At 46.0% G+C, this 16680-nt stretch overlaps 1 protein-coding gene across 3 annotated transcripts in view, besides 2 other annotated features; it reads left to right on the top strand.

Annotated features, from left to right (window-relative positions):
- The window catches only part of PLXNA2 (plexin A2), a 222143-nt gene that overhangs the window by 39103 nt on the left and 166360 nt on the right, over nt 1-16680 (top strand). The gene's annotated exons all lie outside the window — the stretch shown is intronic.
- Nucleotides 3664-3958: a silencer, noted in NCBI's record as "tiled region #4965; K562 Repressive DNase matched - State 8:EnhW". NCBI's record gives its function as "represses a minimal TATA promoter and a strong SV40 promoter by Sharpr-MPRA in K562 cells {active_cell/tissue: K562}" and the evidence as "EXISTENCE:reporter gene assay evidence [ECO:0000049][PMID:27701403]".
- Nucleotides 6771-7276: an enhancer, noted in NCBI's record as "H3K4me1 hESC enhancer chr1:208371351-208371856 (GRCh37/hg19 assembly coordinates)". NCBI's record gives its function as "activates a minimal SCP1, AML or CMV promoter by ChIP-STARR-seq in naive H9 embryonic stem cells {active_cell/tissue: H9 hESC(naive)}" and the evidence as "EXISTENCE:reporter gene assay evidence [ECO:0000049][PMID:30033119]".

Raw genomic sequence — 16680 nt, 5'->3', positions numbered from 1 at the left:
TGCAAACACCAAAGCAGATGGAGATGGAGGAAGAGTGGCAACAGGAACTGGAAACTCATTTTACATGATTTTCCAGGTTTCAGGGCGGAGACAGGAGGCAAATCAAGCTCATGCCATGGGGCAAAAGAGGGAAGAAGTCAAGCTGAGCAAGTGAAAGATGCCAGGACAATGGAAGGAAGGACTATCTTGGGTTAGGGTGAAGTTCCTTTGGTTTCTTCCTTCCATTTGCAGCTGCTAAACTGCCGCCTCAACCCAGGTTTCACATCCCTGCAGGGCTCCTCACAGAAGCTGGGGGGTAGTGTTTTGCCGAGGCTCTCTAGCCTCTTAGTCCCAGGGACCTTAAACAGCAGCAGATGCTGCTGGCTCTCTTTTCCATCCCCACCAGAAACCTCTTCTGCTGCTCAAGCATTGTGACATGTCCTTTATTCTGTCCCTTCAACCACTATGCATGGCACCCTCCTAGACCCCACAGCATCTGGCAAGGGAGCAGCTGTTAAGGTGTCTACCTCCCTTGAGATTCACAGATCTTTGAGGGCAGGGGCCTTCCTTTTCACATTCATCACGCCATCCCCACTGCCAGATACACATTAGGTGCTCATGAAAGTGATCTCAAATGTATTGGGTGCCTATTCTATGCCAGACATCTATTTGTACGAATTGAAATAGAATCAGACACCAACGGTGACTCCTGTTGATGTGGTTGGTTGCGAAGGAAGGAAGGTATGATGTGTTGGGTAGGTCAGTGAGGGGAGGAGGAGGGTTGGCGTGGCAGTGGCATGAGGAGTCAAGGAAACAGGACAACTTCTGGTGGGTAACAGGAAAGGAGTTTGTTTTCTGGTTAACAACATCTGGAAGAGGGTGGGGTGGTAATCTCAGAAATGTTGGCTGGAGGAAGGGGACAGCATTTACACTGTTGCCTGGAGGGCCCCAGAATAGTACAGACAGCCATCTGCTTCACCTGGATCAGATGCAGGCTTGTGTATAACAGGGGAAGCAGGAAAGAATGCCCAGGGAACCACTGCTTCCCCCACCAGTCTCTGTATGACTCTTGGGATGTTTTTGCAAATCCTCAGAGACTTTCCAAGCTCTGGGGAGGGCCCCGGCCTATTCTGGCACTACCTTCTTTCCCATTAGCTAATGGTGGCTGCTGAAATGCCTGTGAAATTCTTAAAGGAAAATTCTTTCTGCCTTTCCCTAAGGGACATACCAACCCAAGGTCTCCAGTCCCCAGCCCACAGGAAGCCCTGACGTCCCAATTCTATTCTTCTCTTTGTAATCGCACAAACGATTTACTAAGCAAAGCCAGGAAAACTGTGAGCTTCTTGCAGTAGCAGCTTAGGCATTGGAAAGAATCCATCAGGAGCACCAAAGTATTAACTCTCCTCAGCCCTGGGGTTATTACTCAGTTATTTGATAACACTGACTGTTTACAAGATACGTTTCCGTGGTTCTTTTCATCTTCCTCAAATACTTCAACTGAGGGTGCTGATCGCCCCTGCATCTTTACCCCATTTTACAGATGTAGGAAACTGAGCTGTAGCTATACTAAATGTCTTGCCCAAGGTTATATGCTCACCCCCACCCTCCAATGCCAATATTGACATTGGCATTTAGACTTTCTCCCCAAACACACTAACCTGTTACTTGGCTCCTCTCGTGGGGTGGAGTTGCCTTGGCGGATGGAAGGCCAAGTTGGATGAAAAGCTGAGAAACATGCCTTTCTCTCTGTGCCAGCCCCACCAAACAATAGCCACTCATTCCTCTGAGTGGAAATGATTCACTTGTCTCTCAGTATGAACCCTTGATTGAGTAAACAGCCGGAGCTGCAGGTCCACATCTAAGAGACTTAGTGGCTCTCCTGGGACCTGAGACCGCCCATCTGATACCCTAACTCGCCCAGGCGTCTCAGCAATGCTGGACACTGGGGTGGTGGGGAGTAGAGACCCTCTCCCCTTCCCCAGAGCCTGCATGGAAGGGGTGGGGTGGTGGTTCAGGGAGCTCACCACCACATCCCTAGTAATGAGTTTGGCTCCCTGCCCGGGCTCCCGCCGCCAAGCTCGCTGTTTGTTTTGTTGTTCTATAGGCCTCTTGGGTCCCCAGAACTGGTCTTCTGAAAGCTGGGAAAGGCTGCATTTGGTTGGCACAAGAAAGGGGCATATTTACAGAATGTCCCACTCCCACCCGTCTTGACACACACACTCTGGCCAGCACATCTCCTTGCTTGACCATGGCAGGTGTAGACAGGAGATGTCGGCTCTGTCCAGATCCCCAGCAGACCCCAGGGAAGGAGGTCCTGATCTCCCAGAGTCATTCTGAAAGGGGAGAAACTAAAGACTCATTTATTTTTTGTACTTTTTGTGTAGTTTCTAATATACTTCAATCTTGGACAATTCTTGTATGAGGCCTCAGGCTGTGTATTCAGCTGGCTGTTTTGCAGTCTTAAGGTTGAGCTCCTGCAGCTCGGGGCTTTATTGCCAAGCAGGTGAAACACAGAGAACTGTGTTTTATGGATGGGTGGGATGGGCGTAATGATTCAAGCTCACAGAATACAGGTGACCTAAATAGGCTATGCAAAATTTTCAAGAGGCCAAGGTGCTGGTGTTTACAGAGGTCTTATCTTTAGGAAAATACAGACCCTTTTACACCATTAAGCCTTGCCTGTCTGTGGATTTTGTACATGGACCTGGATCTCTGAGTCGGAAGGGACTTACAAAGACCACCTGGTCCACTCTCCTGCCTTCGGGTAGGGACCAATTTGCATAACAAAGAGTATAGGGGCTTTGGAGAGATCCAGTCCTGACTCCATCCTACTAGCTGTGTGACCTCTGAGCTTTAATTTCCTCAATGTAAAATGAGGACAGTTCTGGTACCGGCATCATAAGATTACAGTAAGGATTAAATGACATAATTCATTATTGAACTGATATTTATTGAATATGTACTGTGTGCCAGGAGCTTGGTATAAAGCAGTAGAAAATAAAACTGTCAAAAATGGCTGCCCTGGCCAGGTATGGTGGCTCACACCTGTAATCCCAGCACTTTAGGAGGCCGAGGCGGGCTGATCACCTGAGGTCAGGAGTTCGAGACCAGCCTGGCCAACATGATGAAACCCCATCTCTACTAAAAATACAAAAATTAGCCGGGCATGGCGGCATTGTGCCTGTAATCCCAGCTACTCAGGAGGCCAAGGTGGGGGAATTGCTTGAACCTAGGAGGCAGAGGTTGCAGTGAGCTGAGATTGCACCACTGCATTCCAAGCTGGGGGACACAGAGAGACTCCATCTCAAAAAGAAAAAAAAAAAAAAAAATTCTTGCCCTGATGGAAATTATCTGAATGTGGGAAGTCAGACAAACAAAGTAAGTAATCACAATATATATTATGTTTAGTGGGTGATAAGTGCTAAGGAAAAAATAGATCATAAAGAAATAATTCATGGAAGGGATGGAGTGCAGAGCTTGGGCACATGGGCATATGTGCATTTAAATATTACTACAATTGTGACTTAACTTGTGAACTTCGATTTTTTTTTTCCTGTGGAGTGGGGTAGTAATAAGCACTTTGCATATTTGTTGTAAGGATTAAATAAAATCATGTGTAAAAAGTGCTTAATATGGTGCTTGGCATGCAAGTGCTTTCTATTATTACTGATATCTTTGAGGCTTCCCCAAAACCCCACTTCTTCCCTGGCTCCCTGGGGTAGTGATGCTGTCAGATCAGGCTCCTTTTCAGTGACATGTTTGCAAGGTCAGACGGAGGAAGAGAATCCTGTCCCCTACTCCCAGCCCTGAGTCATGGGAAAAAAATACTTAGAAGACGGGACCAGCTGAGCCGAACTAATCTAATCCTGCTGGACTTTGGCATCCAGTTGCATTAGTCACCAGTGAGAGGTTTCCCAGTCTCATATCACCAAACAATATGTACTGACCCCCTCCCCAGGGTGGGGCTGAAGGAAGTGTCAGTTGCCCTGTTGTAGCTTCGCAGAATTAACTAAAACAGGCCCATTCTCCCCCTTTGCATGTCTCCACACCAACCACAGTATCCTGTGCTGCACAACTCTGCCTTCGATGAATTATGTGATCTGAGGGGACCTCAGTTTATTCATCTGGACCACCCATGCCTGCCTGGCAAGATTGCTATGCGTATCAGACATGGAGGATATATAATGTCTAACACAGATCTTGACATAGGAGATGCTTAATAAATGGCAGTCATTGCTGCCTACCACCTCTGTTGCTGCTAGAGTGACTCCTCCTACTAGTATTACTACTACCACTCCTGTACTATTACCATGTTTTTCTGCCACAGTCCCAAATTCTCTTTGATTCTATTAGTTCATTAGTCCCATATAATTTTCAGATGATCAAGAAGGATTGGAGGCCAGGCGCGGTTGTTCACGCCTGTAATCCCAGCACTTTGGGAGGCCGAGGCAGGCAGATTGCCTGAGGTCAAGAGTTCAAGACCAGCCTGGCCAACATGGCGAAACTCCGTCTCTACTAAAAATACAAAAAAAAAAAATTAGCTGGGCCTGGTGGCGGATGCCTGCAATCCCAGCTACTAAGGAGGCTGAGGCAGGAGGCAGGAGAATCGCTTGAAGCCGGGAGGCGGAGGTTGCAGGGAGCCAAGATTGTACCACTGCACACCAGCCTAGGCGACAGAGCAAGACTCTGTCTCCAAAAAAAGAAAAAAAAAAAAAAAAAAAAAAAGAAGGATTGGGATATTTCACTGCTCTGTTGCAGATGGTGATTCTGAAATTCAGAGATTATGGACTTACTTGGGGTCAAGTTGTAAATCAAGGGAAGATGTGGAAATTGGAACCAGAACGACAAATACTTCAGGGTGGAGATGGGCCCAGCATATACCTAAGTCACTTGTGTAGCCCAAGATGATCAAGCTAAGAGCTTATGGCTACTTTAATGTCTCTTTCCTTCTTGCTAGCATGTGCCTCTCTGTCCAGGGAGGCAGGAAATACATGGAGATGAATGTGGTGAAAATGAATCTGGAGCTCTGGCCTTCTGAGTCTCTTCCTGTGGTTCTATTCTTCTCCTGGCCTCAGCCTCCAGAAAGGTTTCTAGGCTCCAAGGTGGGAAAGAAGTTCAGGAGCTGGTGCCGTTGGGTTGTCCCAATCAGCCATCCCCATCCTACCCTGTGTTATGGTTTCTATGGCAAAGGCTGAGTGTCCCCCAGCTAATCTGGAAGGAGAAATGGCATCAACAGGCTTTAATAACAAATCTGGAATTCCCACGCTTGACAATTGAGGGGAAGAGGCTGGGGAATTGGGGTTAAGGCCCCCAGGGGATAAGATTGACGCTATCAAGCAAGATCAAGAGTGTTCCCTTAAATGTGTATCATAGATTTAGTAGCTGGAGGGGACCTCAGAAAACTGATCTGGTCTACTGACTTTGGACAAGTAAGATGCGTATTGTTCTATTTTATGAATGAGTTAGCTGAGGCCTAGAAAGGTGGAGTGATCTGCTGAAACTCACCCAGGTTCTTACCCACGGAGGCAAGACTGGAACCCAGGTTTTTGAATTCCAATTTTGGGGCCCTTCCCTATATCATTTTAAAGGACTTTTTTTTTTCTTTTTTTTTTTGAGACAGAGTCTCACTTTGTCACCAGGCTGGAGTGCAGTGGCGTGATCTCAGCTCACTGCAACCTCCAACTCCCTAGTTCAAGCGATTCTCCTGCCTCAGCTTCCCAAGTAGCTGGGATTACAGGCTCATGCCACCACGCCCAGTTAATTTTTGTATTTTTAGTAGAGACGGGGTTTCAACATGTTGGCCAGGATGGTCTCGATCTCCTGACCTTGTGATCCACCCACCTTGGCCCCCCAAAGTGCTGGGATTACAGGCGTGAGCCACTGCGCCCGGCCTAAAGAACATTCTTTCTGCACAAAACATCAGACTGACCTCGGCCTCTCTAGCATGCAGGCATTTCCTATGCCGAACTTAAAATTGATCTAGGGATTTTTTTCCCTGGAGCAAGAATCCAGCTGAGCTTCTTGTACCAGGCCTGACCATACAACCTTGATCTAGGGTGACCAGGATCCCTGAGCCCTCAGTCCACACATCTCAGGGATCTTACCAGAACCTGCCCAGCAGGGAGGCCTACTTCACTTCTGGCCTCAGGGCTAAGAAGTTCTGACAAATCAGAAGAACACTGAATTGGGACCCTCAAGTCTTACACGTTAGTCTTCTCTCTAGGAATGCCACATTTTTGAATGGGGATAGGCCTAAAAGATCCACTATAAATTCAGCACTTACTATATGCTAAGCCCTGGGCTAAGTGTTTTGTTTTGTTTCAGTTAAGCCTCATCAACCCTTGCAAATTGTAAAAATCATTAGTCTTGTTTCCATTTTACATATAACAAGCTGAGGCTCAACAAAACTAAGTAACTTGGCAGAGTCTCAATGCTACTAATTGGAGAGCTGGGATTTGAATCCAGAGCTCTCTGACTCCAGACCTGTGCTTTTAACCACTAGCTTTTTAGCATTCAATTGAACTTCTCTACGCTTCCATATGTCCACGTGTAGACTACCACTTGCCTGATGGAGAGCTGCAAGAAGATGCACGAGAGAAGAGGGGAAGGGCTACCTCTTTGCACCCTTTTGAGTGAAGGTGCCCTGGAAACTCGGGACATGGCAGCTGTCACCTCGGCACACGCTGTCTTCCTTGTGTCCCTCTCCTCAGGCCTCCTCCTCCACCTTCCCATCCCTCTCGGCCTGGGTCACAATGCGCGGGGTGGCAGCCTTTTGTGCCACACACAGTCCCCAGCTGACTCCCCTTTCTCCAGGCATCATTGTTTGCTGTGAGCTTTCTGAAGGAGAGACAAAGGAGTGTTGCTGACAAGGCCAAAAGCTGCTGGGTAAAGCGTGGGGCCAGGGCCCATCACCCATGCATCCCTCGGAGCCCCCGGGCTCTTCTTCAAAGACATTGTCTGGGATCTTTTGTGTGCCAGTCATACCCATTCAGAGCTGGCCAGGCAAAGGTTTCAGTGGGGAGGAGGAGCACACTGAGAAATGGAGTCATTTTGATCTGGCAAAATTGGAAGAGACATTAAGGCAATAGTTAACAGCCGACCACTGCTGGGGGGATGGGCCCAAATGCTTGTTCTCTGTTTATGGGGCTTATGCAATTCCATCAATATTGATGCCTGATGCCTTTGATTCTGACACTAATCATTGCTATGAATTAAATTTGCAGCCATATAATTAGGATTGCTATTAATAGGGCCCTGAGCTAAGCACTCCGATGTGGCGTGTCTTTTTCTTGATAGAAAATGGCATCCTTGGAACTCTGCTAATGGGGCGCACCTGGGATTTGCCAAGAATGATGTGAAAATTATACATTCTATATTTGTATTGGGCCTTTTACTGAAATACCAGCAAGCAAAGGTGAGGCTGGAGGAAGGGTTCTCTCCTACCCAGTGCTGTGGGCAGCAATTAGGTGTCTCTGCTGCTCTTTAAAGTCTTTAGGAAAGGATATGCCAGAGCCAATGTTGGTCGCTCATGGTCAAGCTTCAGACAGCTCGTAGCCAGGAAGTTCTGCTTTATGTCTAACCTAATGGGAGTCAGTTTAGGCTAAGACACTAGCCAACTAAGGGAAGAGGAATTTTCCTCATACCCTAAGCTTATTTGAAAGAGGCTGAGCCAAACTCCTACTGATGGGCCCAGTTGGGCCTCATTTCTAGGTGGATGATTGGGCAAGACCCCTACTGACAACTGATTCCAAGGGTCCCCATCCAGAGAGCTCCCTGGGCCACAGACAACCCGTTAATTTCACACACAAGGGTTAGCTCTCTTTCATGTTGAGATTCTTTTCCAGGTAAATTTGCAGCATATTTAGTCACGGGGAAACCCGGTCTCTTCCGGCAATTAGCCCCCAGTTCAGCTTCGGTGACTGTCAGTGCCCCATTCACCCTCAGCCTGAGTAATCACGTGTCGTCATGCACAAGGGTTATCTAACCCTTTTCCAACAATGGCACATGTGGTGACCTCCCTTTATCACTTAGAATAATAATTTATACCAGTTGGCACAAGGGATGCACTAGTCCCTGCTCTTTTGATCTTCAGACTGAAAATAATTTTTCTTCTAAACCATCACTGATTGATTTTTTTCTTTCATTGTTTTATATCATTGAGATAAGACAATGGTTTGAGTTCAAGTCCTAACTCTACTATTTACTAAGTACGTGACCTTGGCCAAGTTATTTAACTTCTCAGCAATTCAGAGTTGAGAGTTCTTGTCTTTAAAAAGGTCATAATAATACCTTCTTCAGAAGGATTATAATAAGGTTCAATAAGCATCTAAATCTCTTAGCACAGGTCTAGTACACCTAATAAGATTCCCTGCCTTCCCCTTTTTCTTTCACCTCACATATACCCAGATACAGAGGACAAAAGAGATAGCTTTCTTTTCCAACATCTACCCCCGCCCTTGCCACCCATTCTTCTGAATACCACATTATTTTCCACCCATTCTCAGGGACAACACACATAAAATTAATTTCTCCAAAGCAAATGGTGCAATGGAATCTGAATTCCAAATGCCTTCAGTCTTTTTCTCCCCACCCGCTACAAGGGTGAACAGGAGCTTCTTGCCCCCACTGCCATGGTTTCTACTGTTTCTCTTTCTTCTCAGTTAACCCAGGGTCTTAGGTGGACTGAGTCCATTCTCCAATTCAATTCTCAGGACCCTACCACAAACTCACAGGTGTTCAGCACCTCCATGAAAGGGAGAAAGGAGCAAGAGCATCTCAGCACCACCCAAAACCAAGGCTACTTGAACACAGGATTTGCATTCACTTCTGTTGTCTGCCCCACAAATACACTGTACATTTACCCACTCTGTGTAAGTGCATGCTTAAAGGCAAGTGTGTGGCTAGAAAGTAATTGGCTAATGGTCAATATTAGCAGAGAACATGGTTTTTTTTTTGTTTTTTGTTTTTTAACATAAAACCCTAGGAAACAGTGTGTTTGGTTGAGTCCTCAAGTACGTGAACTTTTTATTAATTACCAAACAGGTATTTTACTTTTCATTCCTGAAGCTGGGCAGGGATGGGATTCCTGTTGGGTGATTGTTGGTGTTGGTGCTGTTTTGGCTCCTACTAAATAGAAAACATTAATCAGTTTCTTCAGTATTGGAAATGTGCCTGATGTTGGGCAAGTTCATGGTTACTCGTAGGTGCATTCTGTCATAAGCCCAACATAACTATACTCGCCCCCTTCAGTTATCTTGTCACTAGCAAGGTCTTGTATGGCACAACCAAACCCCAAAACTAGACTCCCCCATGAGGCCATATAATGTACCCCCCACCTCCCTTGTACCTTCAGTCTTTCCCGTAGTCTAATGGCTGCCCCTCTTGAAGCTGTAAAATGTTGGGTAATGTAAGTCTCAGACGGATTGGTGGTATCCCCAGAGGAATGGTCATAGACAGAGAAATGAAGGAAAAAATATGCCCAACCTCCCCCCACCATCAAATCAAAGAAATAAAAAATCTGTCTCCTTGATGCCTCCCCAGTATTTATGTCTGAGCTCAGCAGACACCCCTGGGCTGCAGCCAGTCTGTGTATTAGCATTAGTCCATTACGCTTTTTATGATGCATGTTGCCCACCCCTAACCCCCCCCCCCAAAAAACATTTTATGACTATCCTTTTCATTTCTGGAAAAAGCTTCACAGAATGGCAGATGCCTGAATCTCCCCACTCTTTGGGGAGCTATTTGTAGGCAGCCTGTCCCAGGCCATAAACAATGGGAGATAAACCACAGCCACTGGCAGTAAATGCAGCCAAGGCCATGGAGGTGCAAAAAGTAGGGGGTGGGATAAGCTTGGTGGAGTCTTGTACAAGCACAGTGCCTGGTGGGTCTGTGGGTCTACCCTACTCACAGGAGAGTCAAGAGATTGGGGCCAAAGTGGTTGCCACCCTCCCGGATCTCCACAAAAGCTAGAGGGAAATCTTACCACTCTCCCTCATGCCTGTCTTCCCTAGTGAAGCCATGCATCCCTTAACTGTGATCAGAACCTGTCAACTTTCCAATCAGAAGGAGAAGGTGAGCTTTGGCATCATTTTCTCCTGCTAGCTCATGCTGCTACCTAGATTACTACATGCCACTCATCTCCCACGGATGCTTCTAGATCTTGGAGCAACTTCTTGGAAGTTTCTCTGCCTTCTCCCACTCACTCTTCTTGTGACACCCACCCCTACCTCTTCCTGCTCCACTCTCTAATGCTCTTCTGCTCCCTTATTGTCAAGCTCGAGTCTTACCAATCCATCACCACTACTTCTGGCTTATTAAAACTTCAGCGTGGACTCTGGTGGCCATGGTGGTGATATGTATTTATACCACCTTTTGAGCTGTACCCACAAGCAAGTCACATAGGACACTGCAGGAAACAGCACCTTGAGCCAGCTTTGCTCCAGAAAAGGTGCCCTTGGGAAAAGAAAACCAAATTCTGAATGAATACTAGAACAGTGGAGATTTCTGATTCTTCCTACACACACGAAACAGCATTCAAAAGCAAAGAAGGAGATGGAGGGGCTGGGAGGTGGAGAAGGACAGCAGCAAAGCCCTGAATAATTAGTGCATGGCGGGGTTTTGTTTCTCATCTGCCCCATCTTGGTGGCAGGATGTATAGATAGGATGGAGGTAATGGTGTTCTTTTTCTTTTCCTTATTTGGTTTTGGACTCCACATCAAATGGAGACATGTAGATGAAAGTGGCGTGCATTTAAAATGTATGTACACATCAGACTGCTGGAGATGGTAGATATTATACTGCATGTATGTTTTTTTTTTCTTTCTTTTTTTTTTTTTTTTTTTTGCAGTAAGCTGCTAAATTATTTATTGGGCACTGGGCTTTAATCTCATAAACCTGCCTTCAGGCCTCAGGCACCAGCAGCCTAAGCACTGCATAAAACACATACATCGGGTGGGCTGCATGGAGCACTCCGGTGACTCTAGGTAGTGATTGTTCATTTTCATTCGGCCCTTTCCCCCAGATCAGCTCATTAACAGCAGGCAGAACCTATGAAGAGCCTTCTAGTTTTCCCATCACTGTGAACTTGGAAATTGATTTGCATCTAGTAGCAGACAGGGGCTCCCAACCTGAGCACAACATACCAGGGGAACTGTGGCAAGAGGCTGTTCTCACAGTCTCTTTCCTTGGCTGAGGGATAGGCCTAAAAAGATGGAGTAAACGACTCCAGGATTACAAACCATTGCTGGATTATCCAGAGCTATGCGCCCTAAGCTATGAACCCCCTTAAGTTCCCACCCCCAGGACTCATAGGTGAATGATCCTGGACAAGTGTTTTTTATTTAAAAATAAAAAAAATTTTTTTAATAAAATTTTTCGTTATTTATTTTACATTTAAAAAGTTTTTTTAGAGACAGGTCCCACTCTGTCACCCCAGCTGCAGTACAGTTGTGCAATCATACATAGCTCACTACAGCCTCAATCTCTTGTGCTTAAGCAGTCCTCCTGCCTTGGCCTCCTAAAGTGCTGGGATTACAGGTGTGAGCGACTGTGACCAGCCCAGACAAATTTTTTATATTTTGGGCATGAATTTGCCTTTTCTAAGTGAAAGAGATCTTTATTATCCTCCCTGGTTCCAAGGCCTGAGAGCAACTCTCTTGGTATGAATCTCCTTGTCAGTCTCTTAAATGCTAAGATAATAATAACATTCTTAAACTTATTCATTGGTTTCAGTTATATAAAGAGCTTTCATAAATATACATATATTGCCCATTTTTATCTCATTTTGTAATCCTAACAGCCCCATGGGCTGCGATATTATGGGTGAAGAAACTGGCCAGAGTGGTCAAGTGATTTGTCATTATCACTCAGTAATGACACTGAGATTAGAACATGGATGTCCATCCTTTGTCCACACTAATCATTGCCTAGATGTGTGAGCTAAGTAGCATTACACGAGTATGGAAACTGAGGCACAAATCATCTCTGGCACCAAGGGGCCCTAGGGCTATGAGGGAGTAATGTTAACACCAATGCCCTTGTCATGGAAATGTGAGCCCAAAAAGGGTTGTGCTTTCCAAACCCTGGGCCTCTGCTGTCTTTGAGCAAATGAAGCAATGCCAGGACTGTCTGGGTTTCATCATTCACTGTGCTGCAGCAGCCAAAACCTTATGACCCTCCCTTACAAAATCAGTAAGAAGAGGATATTGCGGTAGTTGGATGCACAGAGTTTTCATCTATGTTCCAGGATTCAGGGGGTCTGTGATCTACCAGAAAAATGTTTTACAAACATTTGTAGATTTAGTTTTTTGTGTAGCGGGCCCATTGCTTACATTAGATTCTCAAAGTTGTCTATGACCCTAAAATATTAAGACCCTTTGTCTAATGGTTTTTTTTTTTTTCTTTTTCTTTTTCTTTTGAGACGGAGCTTTGCTCTTGTTGCCCAGGCTGGAATGCAATGGTGCAATCTCGGCTCACTGCACCCTCCACCTCCTGGGTTCAAGCGATTCTCCTGCTTCAGCCTCCTAAGTAGCTGGGACTACAGGCATGCATCACCATGCCTGGCTAATTTTTGTATTCTTAATAGAGACAGGGTTTCTCCATGTTGGCCAGGCTGGTCTCGAACTCCTGACCTTAAGTGATCTGCCCACCTTGGCCTCCCAAAGTGCTGGGATTACAGGCATGAGCCACTGCACCTGGCCTGTCTAATGGTTTTTAAAAAGTGTGCCTTTGAGTTCTAGGCCACTCCCAACTCCCAACTCCACCCTTCTTCAATCAAAGTATCTTACTTTCATCTATTTCATCTATCTATTTCTTCTAGTAGGGTTAGGAGTATGGTTTTTTTGTTGTTTAAAAAAAAAGGTTCAAATGGCAGATGATGACATTTTAGGTCTGTTTGATCATCACATGTTATGTACCCTGGGTAATAGGCATACCTGCACCACAGTCACCACCTGCCATATGTGTGCACGTGCACACACACACACACACACACACACCATCCCCAAACCCGGTGTCCATGGCAGCAGGACAAGACAACCCTGGAAGAATTCAGATCAGGGCCCAGAGGTGGGCCAGAGGAGCCAGTGGGCCCAGACCAGGAGAATGGATCAGAGCAGATGGAAAGAGTGGACTCGAAGGTTACACCTGGGAGACAAAGTCAGGGTCATGGTCTTTGTTGTGACACCAAATCAGGCAGCACGGGCTGAGAGAGGAGGCTGAAGAGGTAGCTCCAAATCAATATTGAGAGAACCAAATCAGGCCAGAAGGTAGGAGTCCCATCAGCTGGGTGGGTCTTACTCCCACCATGAGGCAAGGGGAGGGAGTCCACTCAGGGAGGGTAAGAATCGCCTCGTGGATCCCTGACCCTGACACGTCTTCATGCTTGTTCTCACCTCGGGGCTTTGTGTGCAGTGTTCTCAGACTAGGAACCCCTCGCCCTGCCCCGTGCCCAGCTAACACCTCCTCATCTTCCACATGCTGATACACCACCTCCTCTAGGAAGCCCCCATGTGCTTCATAGCACCCCAATTATGTGGCTGTCAGAGCAGGAGAGCACTGCGTTTAAGAAGAGTCCAGGCCTTGGGGCCAAAGTATCTGTGTTCAACTCTTGATTCTCTCCCTTAATATCTGTGCGACATAGTGACAATAACCTCACCTCTCTGTGCCTGTTTCTTCATTTGCAAACTGGAAATAATAATAATTTCTGCCTCCCAGGCTCATTGTGAGGGACATGTAAATGAGTTAATACATGTAAAGCATATAGATCAGTGTCCAAAATAGAGTGTGTACTCAGGAAACAGTAATATTATTGTTGTATGTACTATTATAATTGTCCTTTTTCTTTTCTCTCTCCCTCCCCTCAGTACGCGCCACGATTTTAGGATAAGGGCTGCATTCATTATCTCTCTATCTATAGTAACAGCTAATATAAAAGACATTCAATAAATGTTTTAAAAGAAGAAAAGGAGATGAGAAAAGTGGGGAGGGGGAAGAAATCCTAGGACAGGAGCCATCTCTCTGCCCCAATTTTGAGGCACCTTCTTGATGTGAGTCAAAGGCGCTTGCAGATGTGTGCTGTGTTTCCGCGTGAGGCAGGACCTCCGGGATTCTTACCAATGTTTGTTGCTGGCCATGGGCAAAGAACAAGGTTCTTGGGGAGTGCACATGATTCAGGCAGTCACATCTCATACACAGAAATTCAAGCCAGCAGTGCTGCAGCCGAATCCTTTTGGGACCGCCCTTTTCCAGAGGGAAAAATCCTTTAGCCTCACTTAGCTCATAGCCTCCCTCACCTGTCAGTGCCCCACCTGCAAATCCCAGCAGATGGCAGGTCTGCACTGAAAGACAACTACAGAGGATTCCATCAACCTTCTGGGGTCCAGGACTGAGTAGACTGTACTCCTGCCACCAAAGGTTCGAAGATGCAGAGCAACGCCCATTATTAGAGTGTTCATTCATACAATTATTTACTCACTCATTCAAAAACAATGACAATTACATATGGGCCTGCTATGTGCTGTCAAACATATTACTTGTTGCTAATATCTGTATTAATTACATCAAGCTAGTGGTTTCCAACTGGAGGTGATTTTGCAGACATTTGGCAGTATCTGGCGATGTCTTTTCATTGCTATGTCTTGGGCAAAGAGAGCTATTGGCGTCTAGTGGGTAGAGGCCAGGGATACTGCTAAACATCCTACAATGGATGGGACTTCCTCCCCACAATGAAGAATTATCTGGTCCATGATGTCGATAGTACTGAGGTTGACAAACCCTGATCAAGGCAACCAACATTTCTGGAGCGTCAACCATGTGTCAACCACTGTGCTAAGCACTCTTCATTTGATCTTTCTAACAGCCCTGCAACATAGGTACTATATTTTTTGAGATAAGAAAACTAAGACTCAGGGAGATTAAATTATTTTCCCATTTATTCACATAATATGCAGTTATTAAACAACTCAGTGGGTAGTGGATTTGAAAAGCAAACCCAGGTCTTCTAGCCCCAAAGTCTACTCATCTACAAAAGCATGCTAGCTCTCTGCACAAGGTCAGAAAGGAGAAAACATGACGTAAGTAAGTGATGGAGAAGCATGAGTTTTGGGAGGAAAATGTTGTTCATAACTGCCACTGGGAATGAAAAAAAAATCCCTTTTCTGCCTCCTTCTCTCCCAGTCTACCATCTATACTCATATACACACACATACACAATCGAACAAAATCCTTGAGGCCCCAGTTTGCCTTCAGGGTGACTTCGGTGTGGGTGGTAATTTTAGCTTGAGATTCCACCCTCCTTCCCCCACCCCAAAATGTTTCTCATCTTACACATACAACCACACTTTTGGCTGGGAAGAGGGTGGAGATATTTCTCCTGCTCCTGAAATGTCTTCATAAAGATCTTCTCTCTGCCAACCTCCAGCTTCTCCTCGTGCTGATTTAGTGCCTGCTGTAGGAGGTGTGGGATTTTATTTGTAGCTCCTGACTGGCGGGCTGTTGGACAGGAGCTGTGTGTGTAGTGGGAAGAGTAGGGACTTTGGCATCAGACTATCTTGGTTCAAATCCTATCATCTAAGAGGATTATATTGGGTAAATCAGTTAGCCTTATTGAGCTTTGGTTTCTTCATTTGCAAAATGAGAATGATGATACCTACCTTGCAGCGTTGCTCCAAAAGTTAAGTGAGGTCAGTTGTGTTCATCTTTTAGTGCAGTACTTGGCAAAGAGGGAATACTCAGGAAATGCTAGCCAGTATGCTCATCCTTCTGCCTCAGCCCCAGGTTCGCTTTTTTTTTTTTCTCTTTATCTCTTCTCAGGAGCTCAAAGAGAAGGGGAGGAGGAGTCAGGGTTCCCTTCTGGTGGGCCTGCTGGACCATGCTTCCCTCCCTATTCTGGGCCTCCTGTGGGGCCCTGTGTATAGCTCAGCCCAGGCCCTTGAGTCAACCACAAGATCACTATCTTTGCTCTGCCTCTGTTTAGAGTCAGGTAACACAGACCACAGCTGCCACCACCTCCCCAGGCATGATCATGTGAGTGACAGTCATCACCATAAGACTCTCCCACTTCATCCCTAACTTAGCAGAGATTCACAACGTGGCTGGAAGTGTTAAGCAGTGGTGCTGGTTCACCCTGTTAAAAATGTAGCCTGAAATCATTCAGGATCTTAAGGCTTGGAGGGATCCCCAAGATGCCTTGTCCTTGTGATTGTCCTCATGACTGTCTTTTTGCCCTTTTCTTTGCGCTTCTCGTAGAGAATGTTTTGGAATGGTTAGAGACAGAAGGGAAACTCATTCATAGAGAACCTGCCATGCACCAGGTCCTTTCCATCCTAAGGTGGCTTATCCCTTTTCCTGGGTGCACTACATCCAGCCCATCTGGGGCTGGAGTACATAAGCATTGCTCTACAGAAGAAGAGGAGCTTCCACAACCCTCTGCCATCTTATCTTTGGTGACTTCTGAAACTGCAGGGTCCAGAAGATCCAACTTTACACATTGCAGTATGCAGTATACTCTCACATTTCTCCTCTCATTTAGTTCTCATAGCAGCTTGAGAGGTTGGGATTCATAGCTCCATTTTTTTTCTTTTTTTTTTTTTTTTTGAGACAGAGTTTCATTCTTGATGCCCAGGCTGGAGTGCAGTGGTGCCATCTCAGCTCACTGCAACCTCCGCCTCCCAGGTTCAAGCAATTCTCCTGCCTCAGCCTCCC

This window comes from Homo sapiens, chromosome 1, assembly GCF_000001405.40.
Source record: "Homo sapiens chromosome 1, GRCh38.p14 Primary Assembly".
NCBI classification, from domain to species: Eukaryota; Metazoa; Chordata; class Mammalia; order Primates; family Hominidae; genus Homo; species Homo sapiens.
The sequence above is the reverse complement of the archived record's forward strand: the minus strand, read 5'-3'. Positions and strand labels throughout refer to the sequence as shown.